The sequence below is a fragment of the Homo sapiens genome, chromosome 11 (assembly GCF_000001405.40).
Source record: "Homo sapiens chromosome 11, GRCh38.p14 Primary Assembly".
Taxonomy (NCBI): Eukaryota; Metazoa; Chordata; class Mammalia; order Primates; family Hominidae; genus Homo; species Homo sapiens.
The window spans coordinates 71,361,062-71,382,957 of NC_000011.10; the positions used below are offsets into that span (position 1 = coordinate 71,361,062).

General features: G+C 49.2%; 1 annotated feature.

Moving 5' to 3' along the window:
• Positions 12,832 to 12,881: a silencer, noted in NCBI's record as "silent region_3706". NCBI's record gives its function as "represses an Ori minimal core promoter by ATAC-STARR-seq in GM12878 lymphoblastoid cells {active_cell/tissue: GM12878}" and the evidence as "EXISTENCE:reporter gene assay evidence [ECO:0000049][PMID:35858748]".

A 21,896-nucleotide genomic window follows, 5' to 3' on the forward strand; every position in this document is an offset into this window, starting at 1 on the left:
AAAGGAATTCCCCTACCCTTTAGCTCCCCAGACCTAACCAACCACTAAGCTACGTCCTGTCTCTATGGATTTCCCTTCTTTGTATATTTTATGGAATCCTACACTATGTGACCTCTTGTGACTGGCTTCTTTTGCTTGCATTATGTTTTCAAGGGTCGCTATGGTGGATTTTGCCCCCCTCAGGCAGTCCTGGAAGTCCCACCTGACTCTTCTGCTTATATCTCACTGGGAAGAAGCTGGTCATGTGGCCATACCTCACTCCAGGAACATCTGGGACATTGTTTGTTCAGCTGGGCACATTGCCACTCCCAGATAGAACCAGGGTTCTATTTCTAAGGAAGAAGAAAAAAGGACAATGGATGGCAGCCAGAAGTCTGTCACCAAGTGCTGAGCACCACTCAGGGTTCTGCTGAGGATCTAACCCACTCTCTCTATCACACCAGATAAATCTTTGTAAAATGACTTCCATTTCTTACTGTAAGTCCTGTTTTATCTTTAATCCTCACAATAAGCCATAGAGCCAGGCACTATTCTGATTTTATAGACGAGGAGACTGCAACTGAGGAGATTGGGCATCTTACCTGAGACCAGAGGGGGGGTAGGTGACGCAGCTGGGCCTGTCCGCCTCGAGAACAGGGTTCCTTACCTCGGCCCTATTGACGTTTGGGGGTGGGTCGTGTGCATTACGGGATGTTAGCACCATCCTGGTGACCACTACACACTAGATGCCAGCACCACTCTCTCCTCACCCAGTGTGACAACAAAATGTCCCCGGACATTGCCAATTAGATTTTGGTTAAGTGGAAGAGTGGATGAGTAAATGAGTGAATGAGTGGTCGAGTGGCTGAGTGAATGAGTAGTTGAATGGTTGAGTGGTTGAATGAGTAAGGGCATGAGTGGTTGAGCAGATGAGTGGACAAGTGGTTGAGTGGTTGATTAGATGAGTGGCTGAGTGAATGAGTGGTTGAATAATTGAGTGGATGAGTGGATGAGTGGTTGAGTGGTTGAATGAATGAGTGGATAAGTGATTGAGTAGATGGGTGGTTGAGTGGTTGAATGAATGAGTGGATAAGTGGTTGTGTAGATGGGTGGATGAGTGGTTGAATGGATGAGTGGATGAGTAGTTGAGTGGATGCATGGTTGAGCAGATAAATGGTTGAGTGGATGAGTGGATGAGTAGTTAAGCAGTTGAGTCAATGAGTGGATGAGTGGATGAGTAGTTGAGTGCATGAGTGGTTGAGTAGTTGAGTGGCTGAGTGGGTGAGTAGTTGAGTGGATGAGTGGGTGAGTAGTTGAGTGTATGAGTGGTTGCATAGTTGAGTGGATGAGTGGGTGAGTAGTTGAGTGAATGAGTGGATGAGTAGTTGAGTGGATGAGTGGATAAGTAGTTGAGTGGATGAATGGTTGAGTAGTTGAATGGATGAATGATTGAGTAGTTGAATGGATAAGTGGTTGAGTGGATGAGTGGATGAGTGGTTGAGTGGATGAGCAGTTAACTGGATGAGTGGTTGAGTACTTGAGTCGATGAGTAGATGAGTAGTGAGTGAATGAGTAGTTGAGTGGATGAATGGTTCAATACTTGATTGGATGAGTGGGTGAGTAGTTGAGTGGATGAGTGGTTGAGTGGATGAGTAGATGGGTGGTTGAGTGGATGAGTGGTTGAGTAGTTGAGTGGATGAGTGGTTGGGTAGTTGAGTGGATGAGTGAATGAGTAGATGAGTGGATGGGTGGATGAGTGGTTGAGTGGATGAGTAGATGAGTGGTTGAGTGGTTGAGTGGATGAATGGATGAGTGGATGGGTGGATGAGTGGTTGAGTGGATGAGTAGATGAGTGGTTGAGTGGTTGAGTGGATGAATGGATGAGTGGTTGAGTGGATGAGTAGATGAGTGGTTGAGTGGTTGAGTGGATGAATGGATGAGTGGTTGAGTGGATAAGCAGATGAGTAGTTGAGTGGTTGAGTGGATGAGTGGTTGAGTGGGTGAGTGGTTGAGTGGTTGAGTGGATTAGTGCTTGAGTGGATGAGTGGATTAGTGGTTGGGTGGATGAGTAGTTGAGTGGTTGAGTGGATTAGTGGTTGAGTGGATGAGTAGTTGAGTGGTTGAGTGGATTAGTGGTTGAGTGGATGAGTGGTTGAGTGGGTGAGTGGTGAGTGGGTGAGTGGTTGAGTGGATGAGTGGTTGAGTGGATGAGTGAATGAGTAGTTGAGTGGATGAGTGGTTGAGTGGATGAATGGGTGAGTAGTTGAATGGATGAATGGATGATTGGTTGAATATATGAGTGGTTGAGTATGTGAATGGATGAGTGGATGACTCCCCACATGGAAGCCAAGTCAGTGTCTGCTAACTGCCCATCATCTTCCCAAGATGCTATGGAGCTTGTGCCTCAACCCAGGAGACTTTGGCTTTACCTGGAAAGCCCAGGTGTCTCTAAATTGACTTGTAAGAGGGTCATAGAGTGAAAAGTGAGGCCAGTTGCCCAGGCAGGTAGAGACCCTGATGTCTGGACCTGTAAAGAATAGTGACCTTAATGAAGGGGATATAAACACACCCCAAGCTGCTGTTCCCAGAAAACTGTGCTCAGAGAGGCTTAGAAGTGTGGTTCTCATGGGTTATCTAAGTTGAACCCAGAGAATGAAAAGGAACCTAATTCTGTGGGCAGGTTTGGACAGTGACCCTTGATGGGCACTCCTCCTTCATGAACCCACTGAGTGGGCTTACCAGGAGATTGTCCCTCTGCCTCTATTTCCACACCTGTGCCTGCATCACCTGCCAGGGAGAGGTACTGCCTAAGCCAGTCACTGTGGGGGCCCATTCTAAGGTCACCAAGGCCTCGGAGACGGCAGAGCCCAACCTGAGATGCCACTCAGCTGAGGCTTGACCTGAAACCAGCTCAGTGGCTTGGGGGAGGAGGCAGGCTGGGGAGGTGGAGGTGCGCGGGCCCTCTTTCAATAAATAGAATATTTGTCTTTTAAAACAAAGATCAGTCTCAGGCCTGAGATCTCCCAGAGGCCCCATGGAAGCTGTTGGAGCCATTTGGAAAATTCTCCAGCATGCTGGCTTTCTCAGGCTGATGTTGAGGGCATCCCCTGAGAAGTCAGAGGGAGAAACAGCCAGACAGCCCTGCCTTGCTGGCTGCTCCGAAGCTTCCCCACAGATGGAGAGGGACAGATGGTGCTCACTGCCAACCCTCTTGCTGGGTTCCCTGACCTCATTTGTTTGTTTAGGAACACAGAGCACCCTCTGCTCTCAGCCACAGACAGCCACTGGCCAGGAGGAGAGGCTTGGACCAGACTCAGGAGGCCCCTTGTGCCCCCACGTTCTTAGTAGCTGAGTGGTCTTGGGCCTCTGATCCCCAGATCCCTGTGGTAGGTCCTAGCAGAGTGAGCCCTTTGGAGGTGTCACTTCCTGCTCTGGCCCAGCCCTGGCAGGGGCAGGGAGAGTGGGTAGGGTGGATGGATGGGCTTCAGGCCTGGCTGGGCTGAACAGAAGTGCACTCGGGTAGGAGGAAGGCCAAGCTGTCATCATGTTGCTGGGCCTGTGACCCGCCCCCCTGCCCCATAACAATGGGAGCTACTGCAGCTGAGGCCACCATGGCACACACTCTGCCTGTGTCCTTCATTCCCAACAGCCCAGCAGAGTGTCCCTTTGTCCCCAGTGTCCCTCACTAATGAGTGAGGACACAGGTGGAGAAGCTCAGCGTGGAGGTGGCAGGGCTGAGTGCTGCTTTGGAGCCAACGTCCCTCTCTGATGCCCGGCCTGATGCCTACCCACTGCCCTTCCTGAGCCTCAGCCTCCTTCCCAGTCTGGGTTCCCTGCTGGCTCAAGTCCTCCAATCCTGAGAGAACTAAAGCTCTTCACCTTCCAGCCAGGCTCAGTGGGCCAGGAAGGGGCCCTTGCAGGCCCTGGGTCTGTCCATCCCAGCCCAGAGGGGCTGCTTTGGCTGTCAGCCAAGGGAATAGGAAGGAGCCTTGGCCTCTGATGTCCTGAGTGAGGCCCAGCTGTAAGCTGAGGGTGGCTGCCTGGCATCTCGCAGGCCCTGGCCGACCCAGCCAAGGGGACACGGCCTGGCCCCGGTCCTTCCCCAGGAGCCCTGTCCCTTCCTCACTCCAGCCTTCCTCTCTGGAAAAGGCAGAACTTGAGAAAGCCTCAAGGAGGAGGAGGCCGCTTAAAGATAGATGTGCAGTTTGTGCATTGCACATGGGCATCACTGTCACCTGGCTTTGATGAGGTGCGTGTCCCAGTAGGCAGGAGTCCAGCATCTTCAAGGGTGCCACTTTCTAATGTGAGGAGTGACACCTTGTCCTGCCTTCATCTCACTGCAGATTCTGTTTTCCTGCCAAGAGCTGCTTTAGTCACATTGTCTCATTCATTCATTCATTCATTCATCCATCCATCCATCCGCTAAATATTTAAGATAACCGTGGTTTGGCCTCCATAGGTCTCATCTGCCTTGCATTCCTATGCCCTTGGGCAGCCCTCACTGAATAGGGTTTGTGTTCTTTTTTAAATTTTATTTTTTAATTAAAAAAATTTTCTAGACAGTGTCTCTTAGAACATGTGGAAAAAAGCAAAAATAAAATATAAAATAAAATAAAAGAGACAGGGTCTCACTGTGTCACCCAGGCTGGAGTGCAGTGGTGCAATCACAGCTCACTGCAGCCTTGGCCTCCCAGGCTCAAGCGATCCTCCTGCCTCAGCCTTCCAGAATGCTGGGACTATAGGCGCATGCCACCGTGCGCAGCTGGGCTAGTGTTCTTAATGGCAAGGGCTTGACCTCTTCTCAGGACCAGATGCCCCGCTGGGCATTTGAGAGCCTTGATTTCTGGACGCTGTCCCCAACTTGCAGATGAGGACATTGAGCCCTTGCAAGGCTCAGGTGCCTGAGTACCTGGCCCTCAGCACAGGAGGCCATGATTCAAATGCAGGGAGCTGGGTTCAAGGCCTCTGCTTCTCCTGTCCATGACAGAGAACATGCTTTCTCTATTTGGAAAGGGCTCCTGACTTTGGATTGTCACATCGGACTGGAAGTGTCTGTGCTCCAGGCTACAGGGTGGCCCAGGCTTTGTCACTGGATGGCCAGACCTGGCTCCCAGGATGCTTCAGAGCTCAGCCTTTCTTCCTGGGCAAGGGTGAGCCCTCCTGGCTGTAGTGCCTGGCTCCTTGCACCACGATGGCCAGGGCTCCCAGGAGAGCAACCAGCTGCTGAGGCCCAGGCAACTTCTGTGGGGTGGAGGTGAGAGGCCTGCAGCAGGGCCAGAGCCGGCAGGAGGGCGTGTGGTGTGGGGGCACACCTGTTCCTGACGTCCCCGGCCGTCTTGGGGTTTCCTATCAGAAAATGAATTATGTCAATCAATTGGTGAACAAGGAACTGCCCTCTACTTGCTTTAGGGAGAGACTCTGAGCTGCAGGAACATTCGAGGTGGCAAAGCATGCTGAGCTTGCTGGTGTGTTTCTTTCCTGGGTTCTAAAAATGTTGACCAGACCAGGTGCAGTGACTCACACCTGTCATCCCAGCACTTTGGGAGGCCGAGGTGGTCACATTACCTTAGGTCAGGAGTTCGAGACCAGCCTGGCTAACATGGTGCAACCCGGTATCTACTAAAAATACAAAAAATTATCCAGGCATGGTTGTGCGTGCCTGTAATCCCAGCTACTCGGGAGGCTGAGGCAGGAGAATCGCTTGAACCCAGGAGGCAGAGGTTGCAGTGAGCCGAGATCACGCCATTGCACTCCAGCTTGGGCAACAAGAGCAAAACTCTATCTCAAAAAAAAAAAAATGTTGACCAGACCCACAAAGTGGGACAAACACACTCCATGGCTTCTGCCCAGGCCCTGCACTGCTCAGGGCAACTGCCCAGCTTGCTGTACTCCTCTCCAGACCCTCGTTTTCCGACCTCCGTCGTGCCCCCAACTCATCCTCCAAACTGTTGCTGCTGCGGAAGTTGTTCTAAAATGTAAATTAGACCAATTTCACTGCCACCTCTCTCAGGGCCCTCAAAGGAAACAGAATTGACCCTGAAATGGTTCACCCTCCTGTAAGTACTGTGGGTGTGAATTCTTTTTTTTTATTATACTTTAAGTTTTAGGGTACATGTGCACAACGTGCAGATTTGTTACATATGTATACATGTGCCGTGTTGGTTTGCTGCACCCATTAACTCATCATTTAGCATTAGGTATATCTCCTAATGATCTCCCTCCCCCCTCCCCCCACCCCACAGCAGGCCCCAGTGTGTGATGTTCCCCTTCCTGTGTCCATGTGTTCTCATTGTTCAATTCCCACCTATGAGTGAGAACATGCGGTGTTTGGTTTTTTGTCCTTGCGATAGTTTGCTGAGAATGATGGTTTCCAGCTTCATCCATGTCCCTACAAAGGACATGAACTCATCATTTTTCATGGCTGCATAGTATTCCATGGTGTATATGGAGTGTGGGTGTGAATTCTTACACCCTCTGTGGGGTAAAAGAATTCACAACCACACTCCCAACAGGAAGACTCTGAGCAGGGCAGGAGGAACCCACAAGGCTGGAGATGCACCCAGGACTGCTGGCAGGGCTTGCTGTCACCACGCCAGTAGGTATCTGGTAAAGTCTGAGTCTCCAGAGCCCAGAATGCCTTTCCAGAGCCCCCGAGCTGCTGCCCCAGCCTCTTGCTTCCCTGCTGCTGCCTGCACTGAGCCTCTTCCCTGCTCCACCAATGCGCCACACCGGGGCCAGCATCAGTCTCCAGCTCTGGACGCAGCAGAGTGCCTGGGGCTTCAGAGGTGCTCACTGAAATCTGCTGCATGTCAGATGCCAGCAGCAGCAGAACCACCAGAATTCATGAGCACCACCATGGCTCCCCAGGGCGATGCCAACACTCCCACACATCCTTCCCAGCTGGTCCACATGACCCTGTGATGGGGGCGCAGCCCCTGCCAGGGCGAAGTGAGGAACCAGGCATTGACAGAGTGGTGCCTCCCGTCCAGGCATGTGGCTAGCAGCCCAGGGCACAACGCGTGCTGAGTCTGTCTTGGGAATCCCAGCCCAGCACTCGCTCCTCTCGGTGGCCCTCCCCTGCCCTCTCTGACCTCAGGACGTTTCTCAGGGATGGCCTTGAGTAGCTTCAATCACCCTAAATGCTCAAACACACACAGACCCACTCTCTTCCCCCTCAGGACTGGCTGACCCCCAGGCAGGCAGCCCAGCATGCCTGCTGCCCCTCGCCAGCTGTGTAGCCAGGATGAGGAGCCTGGTCCGCCACCTGCACCAGGGCAAGATCCACCAGTCAGTGCCAAAAAACTCTCCCCAAGAGCGCCAAGGGTGAGCAGGGTACCTGAGGCTGATCACAACAGATCCCGGCCCCTCCCTAGGAGTCCCCAGCGGCAGGGTGAACACGGGGCCAAGAATCTGCATTTCTGACAATCCCACGGGACGTTGATACTGCTGGCCTGGGTCCCCCTCCTGATCTCAATGGACATTCAGCCAGCTTGAAGATTTGCTAGGAGACCACCCCAAGCCAGGCACAGGTCTTGGGACAGGGACCACAGCAGGAGGCCACACAATGTCTGCAGGGCTGTGGACAGCATGTGAGCTGCGGGTCGGGTGGTAGTGCCGCTGGGAAGGAGGAGAGTGGTCCGAGGTGCAGCCCCAGCTGGTTCAACCTTCACAGCATCCCGAGCAGCAGGCCTCAGAGCCCTGTTTCATCGTCTGGAAGGGGGGACATGCTATACACCCACCGTTCTAGTCCCGATAGTTAAGCAGTTGGAGCTCAGAATTCAGATCTGTGGCACCAAAGCCTGTGCTCTGTAGACCTCATCTAAACACCCCCAGAGCTGGGGGCTGCAGCAAGACCACCATGGATTGCAAACTCCTGGGGCAGCACGTGGCGGCCACTCTTTGGATACTTGTGAAAGAGGAGTAGGAGGGCAGCCAAGAGCCTTGGCTGATGCGGCTTGGAGGGGGAAGCCCCGCCGGCAGGCTGCTGCTCCAGGGCTCATCCTTAAGGTTAAGCGGGGTGTCTGGCAAGCAGGTGTTTCAGCAGGAGCTGTAACGCGGCCTTTCCTGACGTCTGAGGCAGTGGGGGCTTCCCCAGCCAAGCGCCATGGCTGCACTGACCGAAAAGTGTCCCCACGGAGGCCAGGGAGCAGGGCAGGTGCCCGGGGCCCTCTGTGGTGTGAAAGAATTCACAACCACACTCCTCAGCGTCCTTGCTCGAGCAGGAGGGCCCAACTGTAAAAGTGGCCCCTGTGGGAGGCTCCTGCTGTGGGATCAGATCCCTGCAAGGGCACAGGTGCCAGAGAGCGCACCTGGGTGACGCCACAGCAGCCAGAGGTGAGGGTGGCATGCACTCTGCTCCTCCGTGGTGGAGCTACATCCACCGTGGTGTACAGGCAACAACCCACCTCACATCCGCCGCTGCATGGACCCTCATCAAAGGGACCCTCCTGCCCACTTTAAAGATAGGGAATCTGAGGCTCAGAGGACAAGCACGAGGCAGAGCCAGGAGTGGAACCCAGCCCTTCAGAGGCTGGACCAGGTGCTGGGTTGTTTGCGGTCTACACCAGAGCTGGCTCCTGAAGGGCCGCAGTGAGGCCACAGCCGGGCAGCCACCACCTGGTGCCTGTTGCAGGTACCGAGGGTGAAGACAGAGGACTCCCCCGAACTGCCCTGGTGTGGGGTACTCCCAGGAGGCTTCCTGGAGGAGGGGAGCATGAGCAGGTCTGCCATCTAGGCAGGTCCACTGCTGGAACCCACAATCCCCAAGTCTCGATTCTCAGATGCATTTCTCTGTCACGTCCAATCTGATGCCCACTGAGTGGTGATTTGAGCTCTGTCCACCGGTGCCTCTAGTCTTCAGGGCTGGGAATCCTGCTCAGGAGAGACCCTGGGCCAGAACTGGGACTAATATACATTTGTTGTCTTAAGCTGCTAAGATCTGGGGCAATTTGTTGTGTAGCAATACATCCCATAGCCAAGATGGACCGGTGTGGGATACCAACAGTCTCTCTACCATATCTGCTCTTAACCCTGCAGTCTGAAAACAAAAGACGGTGGCAGCAGCACAGCCAGAGGGGCCTGTGGAGCTGTGCCTTTGCAGGAGGCATGGCGGTGCAGAGCAGGGCAGGAGGCACAGCGGTGCAGAGCAGGGCAGGAAGCACTGACTGTCAGCCCCTCATCGCCAGCCAGCCTGGACCGGGGCATCTGCCTCAGCTGGAGCTGCAGCTTCCAGCAGGACCAGGGCTTCCCAGGCTGCTCACTGGCCTCCCTGATGATGGGCTCAGGCCCAAAAATGGCTGAGGAGACCCAGACCAAGCACTGCAAGGTGAAGCAGCAGGCCTGGCTGCATGAGGGCCTGCTGGGCAGAGCCCTGACCTCACAGGCAACCCTAAGTGCACTCCAGCACAGTGCTCCTTGGCTCACTACTCCTTAGTGCAGTACTTCTTGGCTCAGTACTCCTTGGCACAGTACTCCTTGGCTCAGTACTCCTTGGCACAGTACTCCTTGGTGCAGTACTGTTTGGCACAGTACTTTTTGGCTCAGTACTCCTTGGCTCAGTGCTTCTGGCCCAGCACCAGGTGAGGACCTGGTGCTCCCTGGAACAGTAAGTGCCTCTAGCATGGTGCTCCCTGTATTGATGGTCCTGGTCTGATGTTCCTTAGCCCAATGCTCCCTGCCTGGTGCTCTTTGCACAGTGCTTCCTGGTCTGCTGCTCCCCACAGGGGTTCCCCACCTTGCCACTGTCCTCCAGGTCCACTTATGGGTTTTGTAGGTCTCACTGCCCAGTCTCCCCATTCACTTGGCAGCCCCCAGCCCTGGCTGGAGGAGGGAGAAGTTTCCATCTCACAGAAAAATCAAGGAAAAGCGCTGAGGGGGAAAACAAGCTGGTGGTCTGCAACCAGTCCCTTGATATGATGCACCTGAACTTTGCATCAGCTTCCCTGGGAGGCCGCTTCACCCTCTTTCAGGGTCGAATCAGCCTCCTGCGAAAGGGAAAACGAAAATCTCCAGCTGGGCCTGTCAGCCAGCGGTTGGCTCGTGCTCAGCCTGGGCATGGGTGCCAGCTGGTGAGACAAAACCTGCACACGAGGCCTCTGAGTGGCCGCTTTGTCCTTCCAAGGAGAGCCACCTGCTGCATTCAGGTCAATTGCAGGCCTCCGAAAACATGACCTCGAGAACTTGTGTTTTCCTCACTTTCTCCAACCACGCAGCAGGGGCGAGCCTGCTTCCCGAGCGCAGCCACATTCTCAGACGAGATGAGAAGTGAGAAGAAACACAGCAAGCATGAAAACACACTCCCCACACTCCAGGCCGTCCATGTTTCCAATCCTCTGCCCAAACAAACAAAAATTCCTACAATTCCAGAGACGTCATGCAGTCTCTAACACCTGCACCAGCACAAAACTCTCTGCCTGACATTGGTTTTGAAAAACATACACTCAGCACAACTTAGACGCAGCCATTTGGGGGCGCTGCTTTTCTGCTGCTCTGAGATGGAAGACCTCTGATCTGGGGACACCTGGCAGGGGCCTGAACTTTCAGGACAATGGGGCACAGCTTCCCAGAGGTCAGTTTCCTTCAACTCTTCTTTTAGAGGAAGAATTGGATAATTTAATCGGTAAGTAATTTAAGACATTTAACCATAAAACCAACAGGTCTACTGTGGAGAGGAGTATCAACCTGCACACATTTTAAAGAGAGGACGAGAGATCTGAAAGACACGTCTAGGCTGTAGCAGCTGCTTTGTGCTCTCTACTCTCAGATCCCATGGAGGGGAGCAAGGCCTCCTGCTCCACCATTTGTGTCCTGACCCCATAGGGCAGCTCATGGAACAGCAGGAGCTGTGTCCCTAGTGTGAGTGTGGGTCCTAGAATGGCCCAGCACTACCAAGCTGGGTACAGAATTCAGGCCTCTTGGTTCCTGGTTCTCTGTCCTGTACCCTGCACTACCCTGCTGGCCTCATTAGGGATGGCTTTGCAGAGCTTCCCATCCCCCCTGAGTTTGCTGCTTCACCTGAGGGAGATCCAGCTTTTTCTAGTAGGCTGAGCCCCATTCTGCAACCATCAGCTTGTAAGAGAGGAAAGCTGCTTGCCCCAGAGCTCTGGCCTTCACTGGCCTCATTTGGCCAGCTCTATCCCAACCCTACCAGAGGGGCCCAGCTAGACTCGGGGGTGGGGCTGGGATGAGAGTGTGGCATTGCAAGGAGGCCCAGGGCCCCAGGCGAGCAGGACACTCTCCCCAGAAGCAGTAAAGACAGGCACAAATGAAGGAGGATGAGAGGAGTCTATGAGGAGACCCAGGGAATCAAGAGAGGAGGGAGGTTGGAGCCTGGTGGGGAGAGCCAGGCCTCGCAGGCACCAAATGATCCACTCTGACTGAACCTTCCAGTTACCAGGGCTATCTGTGGCATAGATGACCATTGGGATTACAAGGAGTCTGGGCCACTTCCCTGCCCTTTTGCAGGGCCAGCGAGAGAGCAGAGGGAGTGGGTGTGCATGTGCTGAGCCCTCCACTCATGTCTACGCATCTGCTCCTCCAACACCCTGGGAGTTGGTGTTGTCAGCCCATGTGGCTGAAGAAGAAACAGGCCCTGGAGGGTGAAGTGATTTGCATTACAGCTTGTCCATACTGAGTGAAGCTGGAATTCACACGCAGGCTACCTAACAAATAGCAAGCATCCTTTCAATCCCCAGCCTCTGGGCCACACTGGCAAGAAGGACAATGGGGATTGTTGCTACCAGCATACCTGCCTCATTGCCATAGTCTCTTACCACCATCTTCATTCCTTGACCATGATGGAAAAGTCTATTCTCAACCTCCTTTGGAGAATGGATTTTTACACCAAAAGCACTTGGAGCGTTAGCAACTACTGACCTCTTCTGGACTGAGAAGGCAGACCCAGAAGACGGATACCACGACATAGTCAGTCCCCTATGCCAAAGGCAAATTTCAGATGTGATGCCTTAGTTCCTTGAAAACAGGAAATATTTCTTCTATTTCTCCTGAAACTCTGCCTGGAGGCCTAGTAGAAATCTAGGCACAGAGTAGATGTATCAATCCCGCCACTTGGTGGCTTAAAAGAACAATTATTTATCAGGTAATGATTCTGTGGCCCAGTGACTTGGGCTGGGCCTCGCTGGTTCCTCTGCTTATTTTGGTTGGGCTTATTCATTCATCTGTGGGCAGCTGGTGGTCAGGTAGTTTCATACCTGCATTTGGCAGTTGGCTGCTGATTAGCTGAGAGTCAGATATAGTTACTGGGGGTTACTGGGCCATATGTCTTTTGTGCATCCGCCAGTTTGCATGGTGGTGGCTGCAGGATTTCCAAGAACAGCAAGAGAGGAATCCCAATGCACAGTTACTTTTTACCCCTTAGTCCATGGAACATTGCATCATGTTTGCTAATGTCCCATTGACTAAAGCTAGTCACATGACCAACCCATATTCTAGGGATGAAGAAGTAGTTTCCAGTTCCTGATGGAAGGGGAAGAATTTGTAGCCCTTTTCGCAGTCGCCACAGTTGGTGGTCACAGACGTTTCCTAGGACATTGTTGCCTCATTCTCTCTCCCCTCTTACCACCTGATACATAATTTCTGCTGTGGCCATAATAGCCTTAAAATGCAGTGGTTTTATTTCTAGGCTTTCTCCTCCTTATGCAGCAGCTAAGCTCCCCCAGGCAGGAATTACAGCAGGTATGTCTGTTTCCCCAGCTCCTAGCATAGGGTCCGGTGAATGCTTACTCAGTGAATGTTTATTAAACAAGTCATTGAATTGTTGAATTGAATATAAAGTGAAAATGGCTTCAGGTGAGCAATGTGTTAATTAGACCCAGGAACTGAAACTCCAGATGGGCAGAATGCAAATTAGAAGAACTTTTTAGAAGCACTGTATTACCACAAGTTCAGCGTGATTTGATTCCCCTCAAGTATTCTAGGACATCTGCACTAGTGCTAGCCCACCAGAACTTCCTGTGGATCACAAGTGGGTGAGGTTCTTAGCCTCTCTCGGATATTTGCCCTCTCAGGAAGCTGGTGGGAATGATGGAGTATCTCCCTGGGAAATGCATACCTGCACTATATCACTGGGGCTCAGTCTCAGAGAACAGGATGCACTGCAGCTAGTTTAGCAAGAAGGAATTAGTTTCAGGTTACGGGGGGCAAATAGAATCATTGGAGAGGCTGAAGAAATGGTTGTGGAACTGAATATTCAGGAACGACTTTGAAAACAAAACCGAGCTAGCAAAGGAGCTGCTTCCTCTTTGCCAACAGGAAGCCACCTGCTCAACTGGGAAGCTGTAGCTCCTCCTCCAGCTCCAGAATCAGGCCACCATCAGAGTCAGGAGATGGCCACTGTAGACGCCACCCAGATAGGGAAGCTGCTGGAGGAAGGGTCAACACCTCTGTGCGGGGGCTTGCCTGCAGGAATGCCAAACAGTGCTGGCAGAGCCTTTGTCCTGCAGGAGCGTTCAATTAGATACAGGTGCTTCCATTAGGAGCTTGCTGCAAGGGATTCTGGGAAATGCAGAACAGGGAGACACTGGGTAGGTTAGGATAGAGGGGAAGCCCTCTGATCTCCACCCTCGCTCACCCACAATTTCCCAATCTCAGCCCCCCACTATCCACTACAGTACATGGTAGTACCATCATGAACCCCAAGTTAACAACTTTATTTTAGTTTTAGATATGTGGCAGAAAAATAATTTTTTCAAATACTTATGTATTCCTAATGAGAACATTTAAAATCTACTCTCTTAGCAATTTTCAAGTATATAAGACATTGTTATTAACTATAGTCATCGTGTTGTACAGTAGATCTCTTGAACTCATTCCTCCTAACTGAAAGTGTCCTTTGACCAACGTCTCCTCAATCCTCCTCCCCTACCCTAGCCCCTGATAACTACCATTTTACTCTCTATTTCAATGAGTTTGACATTTTTAGATATCACATCCAGTATTTGGCTTTCTGGGCCCAGTTTATTTCACTGAATATAGTGTCATTCGAGTTCATTCATATCATTGCAAATGACAAGACTTCTTTCTTTTTTAGGGCTGAATAGTATTCTATTGTTTATATCTATACCACATTTTCTTTATCCATTCATCTGTTGATTGACACTGAGGTTGATTTCATAATTTGGCTATTGTGAACAATGAAGCAATCAGTGTGGGAGTGCAGAAGTCTCTTTGCCAAGTCGACAACTTCATTAATTCTTATGAGTTAAAAATCAATTTGGAATATTTTCTTAGAGAAAAACAGGCAGTACAGTGAGAATATGATCATTTGTTCTGAATTACAGAACTTGGTAGTGCATTAAGGAGAATGGAGTCAGGATTATGATTTTTGTTTGTTTGAGAAACAAACAAAACAAGTTCCAGTTACTTATCTTTCCATAGAGTCCCCTCTGTAGATGCCCGGGCTCCTGTTCACAGCCTTGGTGGAGGACATGGCATACGATGTGAATTATAGCAGATGCCAGCTTTTGTCCAAATTTGCCCAGAAGGAGAAAGGCAGGAGGAAGAGAGAGAATGAGAGCCCACTTTCAGACAAGTGCCAGTGATACTAATCAGGGTGCAGACACAGGGCTTTTGCAAAGAGGACTTGCCAAGGCTTGCAGTTGGCCAAGGATCACTGTGCTAGGGTTCAAACAGAGATAGGGCATGCTCCCAAGGGAGCCCCTGGTTTGGGTCAGTTCTTGGGAAAGACCAGGTTGGAGGAAGGCAGTTCTAGAACTTTCTACCCTATCTCTGAACACCTTAAAAATATTTTTACTCAACTTAGGTCCATCGGTTAAATAAATACAGTACCTGTTTCATAGCATAATCATGATTAATAAACACATTTTTTAAAAAATTCTGTAAGTGTTAACAAAGTATATCCTACTTTTGTGGTGGAGACTACCAGGAAGTATTTGCCTGTCCCAGTATAACCTAAAAAGACCACCGTAGAGATCCACAAGAAATGCTGGTCCCCTGATCAGCAGTGGCACCAACACCTGAGAGCTTGTTAGAAATGAAATTCTTGCTGATTGAGAAATGCTGGGGTGGGGCCCAGCCATCTGTTTTCAATCGACCCTCCAGGTGATTCTGATGGATGGTTTGGGAACCATTGGTTTATGCCAGCATCCCCCTCCCTGAGTTTGCTGAGAACTTTACCGCTTACAAAGTGTCTTGCATTTGCTGTTTCACACTCATTTGTATAACAGCCCTACTGGTAGAAATTGGGAAAAGGATAGAGATAGAGATAGAGCTAGAGATAAGGGTACGGATATGGATAGAGACAGAGAGGGATAGGGTTAGTGATAGGTAAAGGAATGAGATGAGGATAGAGTTAGGGATAAGACAAATAGGGATAGGGATTATCTTATTTCATTTTCTGCTGCTATAACAATACCACAGACTGGGTAATTTATTATATGAAGAACAAAGGTTCATTTGGCTCATGGTTCTGGAGGCTGAGAAGTCTGAGAGCATGGCACTTGCATCTGGTGTTATCCCATGATATAAGAGTGAAGGGTGGAAACAAGCACACAAAACAGAGTAAGCAAATGGGGGGATGAACTTATCCTTGTATCAGGAGACTACTCCCACAATAACTAACCCACTTCCAAGATAACAGCATTAATCCATTCATGAGGACAGAGCCCTGATGACCTAATCACTTCTTAAAGGCTCCACCTGTTAACGTTACTATTACAATGGAAATTACATTTCAGCATGAATTTTGGCGGGGGGCATTCAAATCACAACAAGAATAAAGATAGAAATAGGAATAGGGTTCAAGATAGATATAGAGATAGGAGTGGACACAGAGATAGAGACTGAGATAGGGATAGAGTTAGGGATAGGGATAGGGATAGAGAGCAAATTGTCACCTCATGACTGATGAGCAGAGGGGGTATCAGAGTGGTGGTGCAACCTCCCTGAAATCACACATCACATAATGAGCCAGGACTGGCAGTTCCCCTTTCCCCATTATTTCAACCTCAGGAAGATAGGGATTGTTTGAAATGAGGATTAAACCAATGGCTTCTCTGTGCTGTACAGAATTTTAAATGAAAATACAGGCTTCCATCCCACATAGAGTGCAGCAAAGTGGCTGCCATGAGCCTGAGATAATAACTTCTGCCATGACTGTGATGACTGGCTGCTCCTTGCTCAGGGTGGACCAGCACTTCCCTCTCCTCCTCTCATCTTCTGGCTGCTGAGTTCCATGGCCAGAGCCAACCATGTGGGTCGGCAGACAGCAAACTTGAGGGCTTCAATAATACTTACTAAGTCAGTTCACTCATTACATTGGATCATTTTAATTTGTAAATGATCATTTTTCCTCTTAAGCTATGCCCCTCTTTCTAAAGAACACACACAGTGGATTCAGTCAAGGATTCAACAATCTTCTACACATAAGCAAGCTCTGATGCTGGAAAGACGTGCATGCAGAATAACTTTGGCCAGAGTTGGAAGCCATCTTGAAGATTATCTGGCCTGATTCTTTTTGGAGACACAAAAATTGAAAGTTGCGTTGTTCATTAACTTTCAGGAAATTGATAGGTTTCATATTGAAGCTTTCAGTATGTTCAAAAAGTCTTCTTATCTAGGGCTTCTTTAGTTTAACATTGTGTCATGCTTTGTTTAAAAAAATTACCAAGTCCAAGCAATGACTTGAACAGAAATTAAACATATGAGTAAGATCACAGTATTGTCCTTATTTTTAAGTAGTATTTTAAGAAAGTTTCCTCTGGAAATGTTTAATTACCAGATTCCAAAGTTAAGTTCCTCTTCTCCTGAAATCTGAACAAAATTTAGTATTGTATGATCCCTGAACGTGCTGCCAGCTCCCTGACACCTTCCCCAATAGGCTCTCTGAATTCCAGAACTTTATCTATACATCTCTTTAAAACCATAGCATCCTGACTGACAATAAATCTTGGTGAATTTTAATAATTATGATAATGATAACAACAGCTAACATTTGTTAAGCACTTATTATCCCCACACCACTTTTCTAAGCCTCTTACAGGGATTAACTCTTTGACTCCCCCATTTTACTGATTATTATTATTTCCCCTCGTTTTATAGATGAGGAAACTGCACCATATAGAAATATAAGAAATGTGCTTCAGTTGCTCAAACACTAGGCCAACTCCCTTTAAGCTTTCAATGCTCTTAATGTTTTAAGGCAATACGTTTGAAATCAAATGGGTTGAAATCACATTCATAGAGCTTCAGTAAGAACAGCAGCTTATTCTTTACTTACACATGTCATACATGAGAGTTTGGTTGTGTGTCTTCCATAATCACCTTCCAACTCAATGGAGTCAGCGCTAGACTCCATTATGCCATGTACCACACAATGGCCAGGAAAAACAATGCCAGTGTCGCCTTCACAGCAGACATTTATAGCAGACATCAGATCACTACAGAACTAGAAAATAACAACATATTTGCAAATAAACACCCTGATATGCTCTGGATCTGTGTTCCCACCCAAATCTCATGTTCAGTTGTAATCCCCTATGTTGGAGATGGGGCTTGGTAGGAAGTGACTGGATCATGGGGGTGGTTTCTAATGGTTTAGCACAATCCCTCTAGTGTTGCTCTCGTGATACAGTCCTCACGAGATATAGTTGTTTAAAAGTGTGTAGCATCTCTCCTCTCTCTCTCTCCCTCCTGCTCCAGCCATGTAAGATGTACTTGCTTCCCCTTCACCTTCTGCCATGGTTGTAAGTTTCCTGAGGTCTCCCCTGCCATGTTTCCTGTACAGTGTGTAGAACTGTGAGCCAATTAAACCTCTTTTCTTTAAAAATAAATTAAAAAAAAAAAGAAACTTGGTGGAGGTCACACACAGTTAATTAATAATAGAACTAGACTTCAAGTACAGGTAATTTGACTAAAAAGAACCAATTCAGTATTTAATGAATGAGTGAGGAGTGGATGAATGAGTGAATTATTGGTTGGTTGGTTGGTTGGATGGATGGATGGATGGATGGATGGATAGATGGATAGCTGAATGGATGGATGGTTATATGTATGGTTGGATGGATGGACAGTTGTAGAGCTGTATGTATAGTTGGATTAATGGTTGGAGAGACGATGGAAAGATGGATGGGGTGATGGATGGATGATGGGTGGCTGGGCAGATGGATGGATGGACATGGATGAATGGTAAAAATAAAGAATAGAAAACAATACACTTGAGTCATCTCTAGGCTGGCCTCTATGTTCCTGAGCAGCCAGCACTGATGTGCATGGATACAGGCTGGGCTGGGACAAGAGGTTGTACCCAGAGCTGCATCCTGTGTGGGCTGGAGAGGATTGCTGCAGTTGAACCAACTATTGCAGGATTGACCTGGGGATGACAGAATGGCCCCAGCTGACCCTTTTACCACCTCTTCTACTGCTGTTGTGTAGGGCTGGGGGATAATGAGTCCCATAATTTGAGACATGAGAACAAAATGGCCTCTTGGGCAATGATTATCCCTGAGGTCTGAGCTGCCCATTGGCTGGTACACCTTGGGGTAAGAATCAACTCTCCAGGAACACAGAAATCATCTGGGGACTGGGTTTACAGTTATTTACCCCAGTCTCTCAACTGGCTTTTAATGAAGCAATTTTCAGCATCAGATTAAGTGTAATGGACTATTAGGATCACTAATTGTTGTGTTTTTAATAGGAGAAACACTCTGGAATAGTATAAATAACTTGCTGAATGCTGGTAATTACACTCCTTTGGAGAAATCAGGCAAGCCAGGTTTCTGAGTGAATGTGTGTGGGCCCCAGTTATTGAGTACTCTTGATTTACTGTGCTATAAACATGGATATTTTTCTCAATTGCTTCCAGCTGTGCTGACCCCTCCTCTCACCCCTGCTCTTCCCATCAGGCAGCAGGCAACCTGAGTGATTGCTGATGGCTCATGCTGATTTCGTTACTGTTTACATACTTCTGGTTCTACTGGGAAGCAGGCTAAGATCTATACCTGCCTGGGGTTGAGACCCAGCTCCCCACTTTCTTAACTGTGTGACTGGGTGCTTCCACTTGTGTTCTCTAGAATAGGGATAACCGTAGCCCCTACTTCCACCATCCTTGTGGTGAGGACTGAGGTAGGTAACCTATGCACACCACTTAGAACAAGGCTGGTGTAAGGCAAGTTATGCTTTTATTAGGGCTGGGGCAGTCTCATTAATATTTTCTACAGCTTGGTCCTATATGTTTTAAAATATTAATGTCATATTTGATTCAAGGACGTTCTCCCTCTATGCTTCCCCGTACCACCACTGCTCCAGCCTTGACTGTGGGTGGAAGGAAGAATGGATGGGTGGAGAGATGGTTGGATGGATGGATGAGTGGGTGGGTGGGTGGATGGAAGGAAGAGTGGATGGGTGGAGAGATGGTTGGATGGACGGATGAGTGGGCGGGTGGGTGGATGGAAGAAAGAATGGATGGGTGGAGAGATGGTTGGATGGATGGATGAGTGGGTGGGTGGGTGGATGGAAGGAAGAATGGATGGGTGGAGAGATGGTTGGATGGATGGATGAGTGGGTGGGTGGATGGAAGGAAGAATGGATGGGTGGGGAGATGGTTGGATGGATGGATGAGTGGGTGGGTGGGTGGATGGAAGGAAGAATGGATGGGTGGAGACATGGTTGGATGGATGGATGAGTGGGTTGGTGGGTGGATGGAAGGAAGAATGGATGGGTGGAGAGATGGTTGGATGGATGAATGAGTGGGTGGGTGGATGGAAGGAAGAATGGATGGGTGGGGAGATGGTTGGATGGATGGAGGAGAGGGTGGATGGGTGATGGGTGGATGAGTAGATGGATGGATGAATGGATTGTTGAATGAGTGGATGGGTGGGTGGTTGGATAGATGAATAAATTTTGTATTTGATGGTAGGTCTTTCTTTCTTTCTCTCTGTCTCCCTCCTACTGCCCCAGCCCTGACTCCTGCAGCTGAGTGAGGAGTGCTGGAGTGCCTGTTCATCTTATGTCCCTCCCTCTTCCCTTCACTGTGTGCTCCAGTGTGCGTAGGGAGGAAAGAGGAAGAAAAGATAGCTCCTCACCTGACTGTCTAGAGTGAGGATGCCATCCTTTCGTTGGTCATCCTTGCCGCTGTGGTCTGTGGCCTGCATGTGGGCAGGCGTGACTTCCCTGAGCATATAGGTGGTAAATTTTCAGAGTGTTTGCCTGTCCCCAAGTTATTTTTTTTTTATCATTTCCACCTATTGGAAAATGTATGAGATTCTAGGTTCAAAATAATCCTTCCTCTTAACTTGATGGTTTTCTTGTCTTGTCTTCTACAACAATTTGCAGTCAAGAATTCTGATAATAATAATAACTGGAGTCACTTTCCCTTGTGATAGTGGCACCAGATTTAGCAAGCAGAGATAATGCACAACATTTGGGACAGGCTTATACTAAAAATTTGTTACATTTCTGAAATTCAAAATTTAACTGGGTAATCTGGGTTTTTTTCCAGTCACCCTACTTTAAGTTAACCTGCGTTTGCTGATTTCTCTCAAAGCCTCTAGATGTCATTATTTTTGATATTCTGAAATTCCACTAGTGTCTGCAAGCAGGACCCTTCCTTGGGTCTGTGCAGCCCTCCGTGGCCCCTCTACACTGAAAACATGTGTCTTCTATTTGTTTGGTTGGTTTCTTCCTCTCCTTAGTTCTCTCTGTTCTCCTCTGGCACTCTTACTAGATGCTATTTACAGATTTAAACTGCCTGTTACACCTAAATAACCTTGATCTAGTTAATTCACTTCTCTTAGCACCAGTTTCTGCTTCATGAAATCAGCTATAATGAAACCAACCTCACAGAAACGTCATAAGGATTAAATTCATTGGAGGATGTAATGCCCCTTGCATGGTGAGTGCTATGGGTACTGCCCCGATCGTGCCTTCAAGAGGCCAGAGTATCCATGCTGTTCTGCCCATGTGGGTACATCAGGCCTGTGGTAGGATGGCACTTCCTGCCTCTTGTGGTTGGGTAGGGCCATGTGATTTGTTGTGGTTAATCATGGCTATGTGCCCTGTGGCTTTTCTGGACTAATGTATTTAGTTGCCAATGTAAGACCCACCAGCACACTCTTCTGCTCATCCACAATGAATGACAATGTCTCTGATGGTCTGCTCTGTCACTGGATTCTAAGGGAGGATGATGTAGGAGGCAGCCCCTGTTGACCTTCAGTGGACATGCAGCATGAGGGAGAGACTGACTTTTGTTTTATGGCACTGAGATTTGGGGGATGCTTCTTCCTGCAGCACAGCTTCACCTTCCTGACTGATACACAGGAAGAGCCAGGATTTCCCTCTCCTCCACTACTCTGCATTCATGCAGCTTGTGTCCTGCGACACTGCGTAGTGAGTGTCCTGTGCTTCTGCCAGCTGAGCCCAGACAAAAAGACAGAGTCCATCCTTTATTGACCTTCTTTATTGAAGTCTGGGGGAGGAAGTGCCTTTGCCCTTGAGCTGGTTCTGAGCTCTGTTCAATTCAGCCACAACAAGGCTCATCCTGCAGTTGGTGTCGAAGGCACAGGCAACATGGTCCTGAAAGCCACACATCAGAAGCTTTTTCTACTGATGATGGAAGAGCCCATCTCCTTGTACTCCTTGCTGGTGACCCACATATCCTTGAACGTGGAGAGTGAGCACAAGATGGAGCCACCTACCCAAGCTCCATAGACAGAATACGGACAGGTGGCCACCTGGATGGGGTTAAGGAGGCAGAGGAGAGTGGAGGGCAGAGGAGGGAAGGGGAGGTGGGGAGTGGGCAGGAGAAAAGAGAAGACAGCAAAATCAAAATACTACTCTGAAGTGTGGACACAAAACATCCACCCCTGAGAGAACTTCATGGACAGTTGTCTCTCCCTCCTGGCAAATACAATCTGTGATTTGCCATTAAAGATGTCGAACATTCC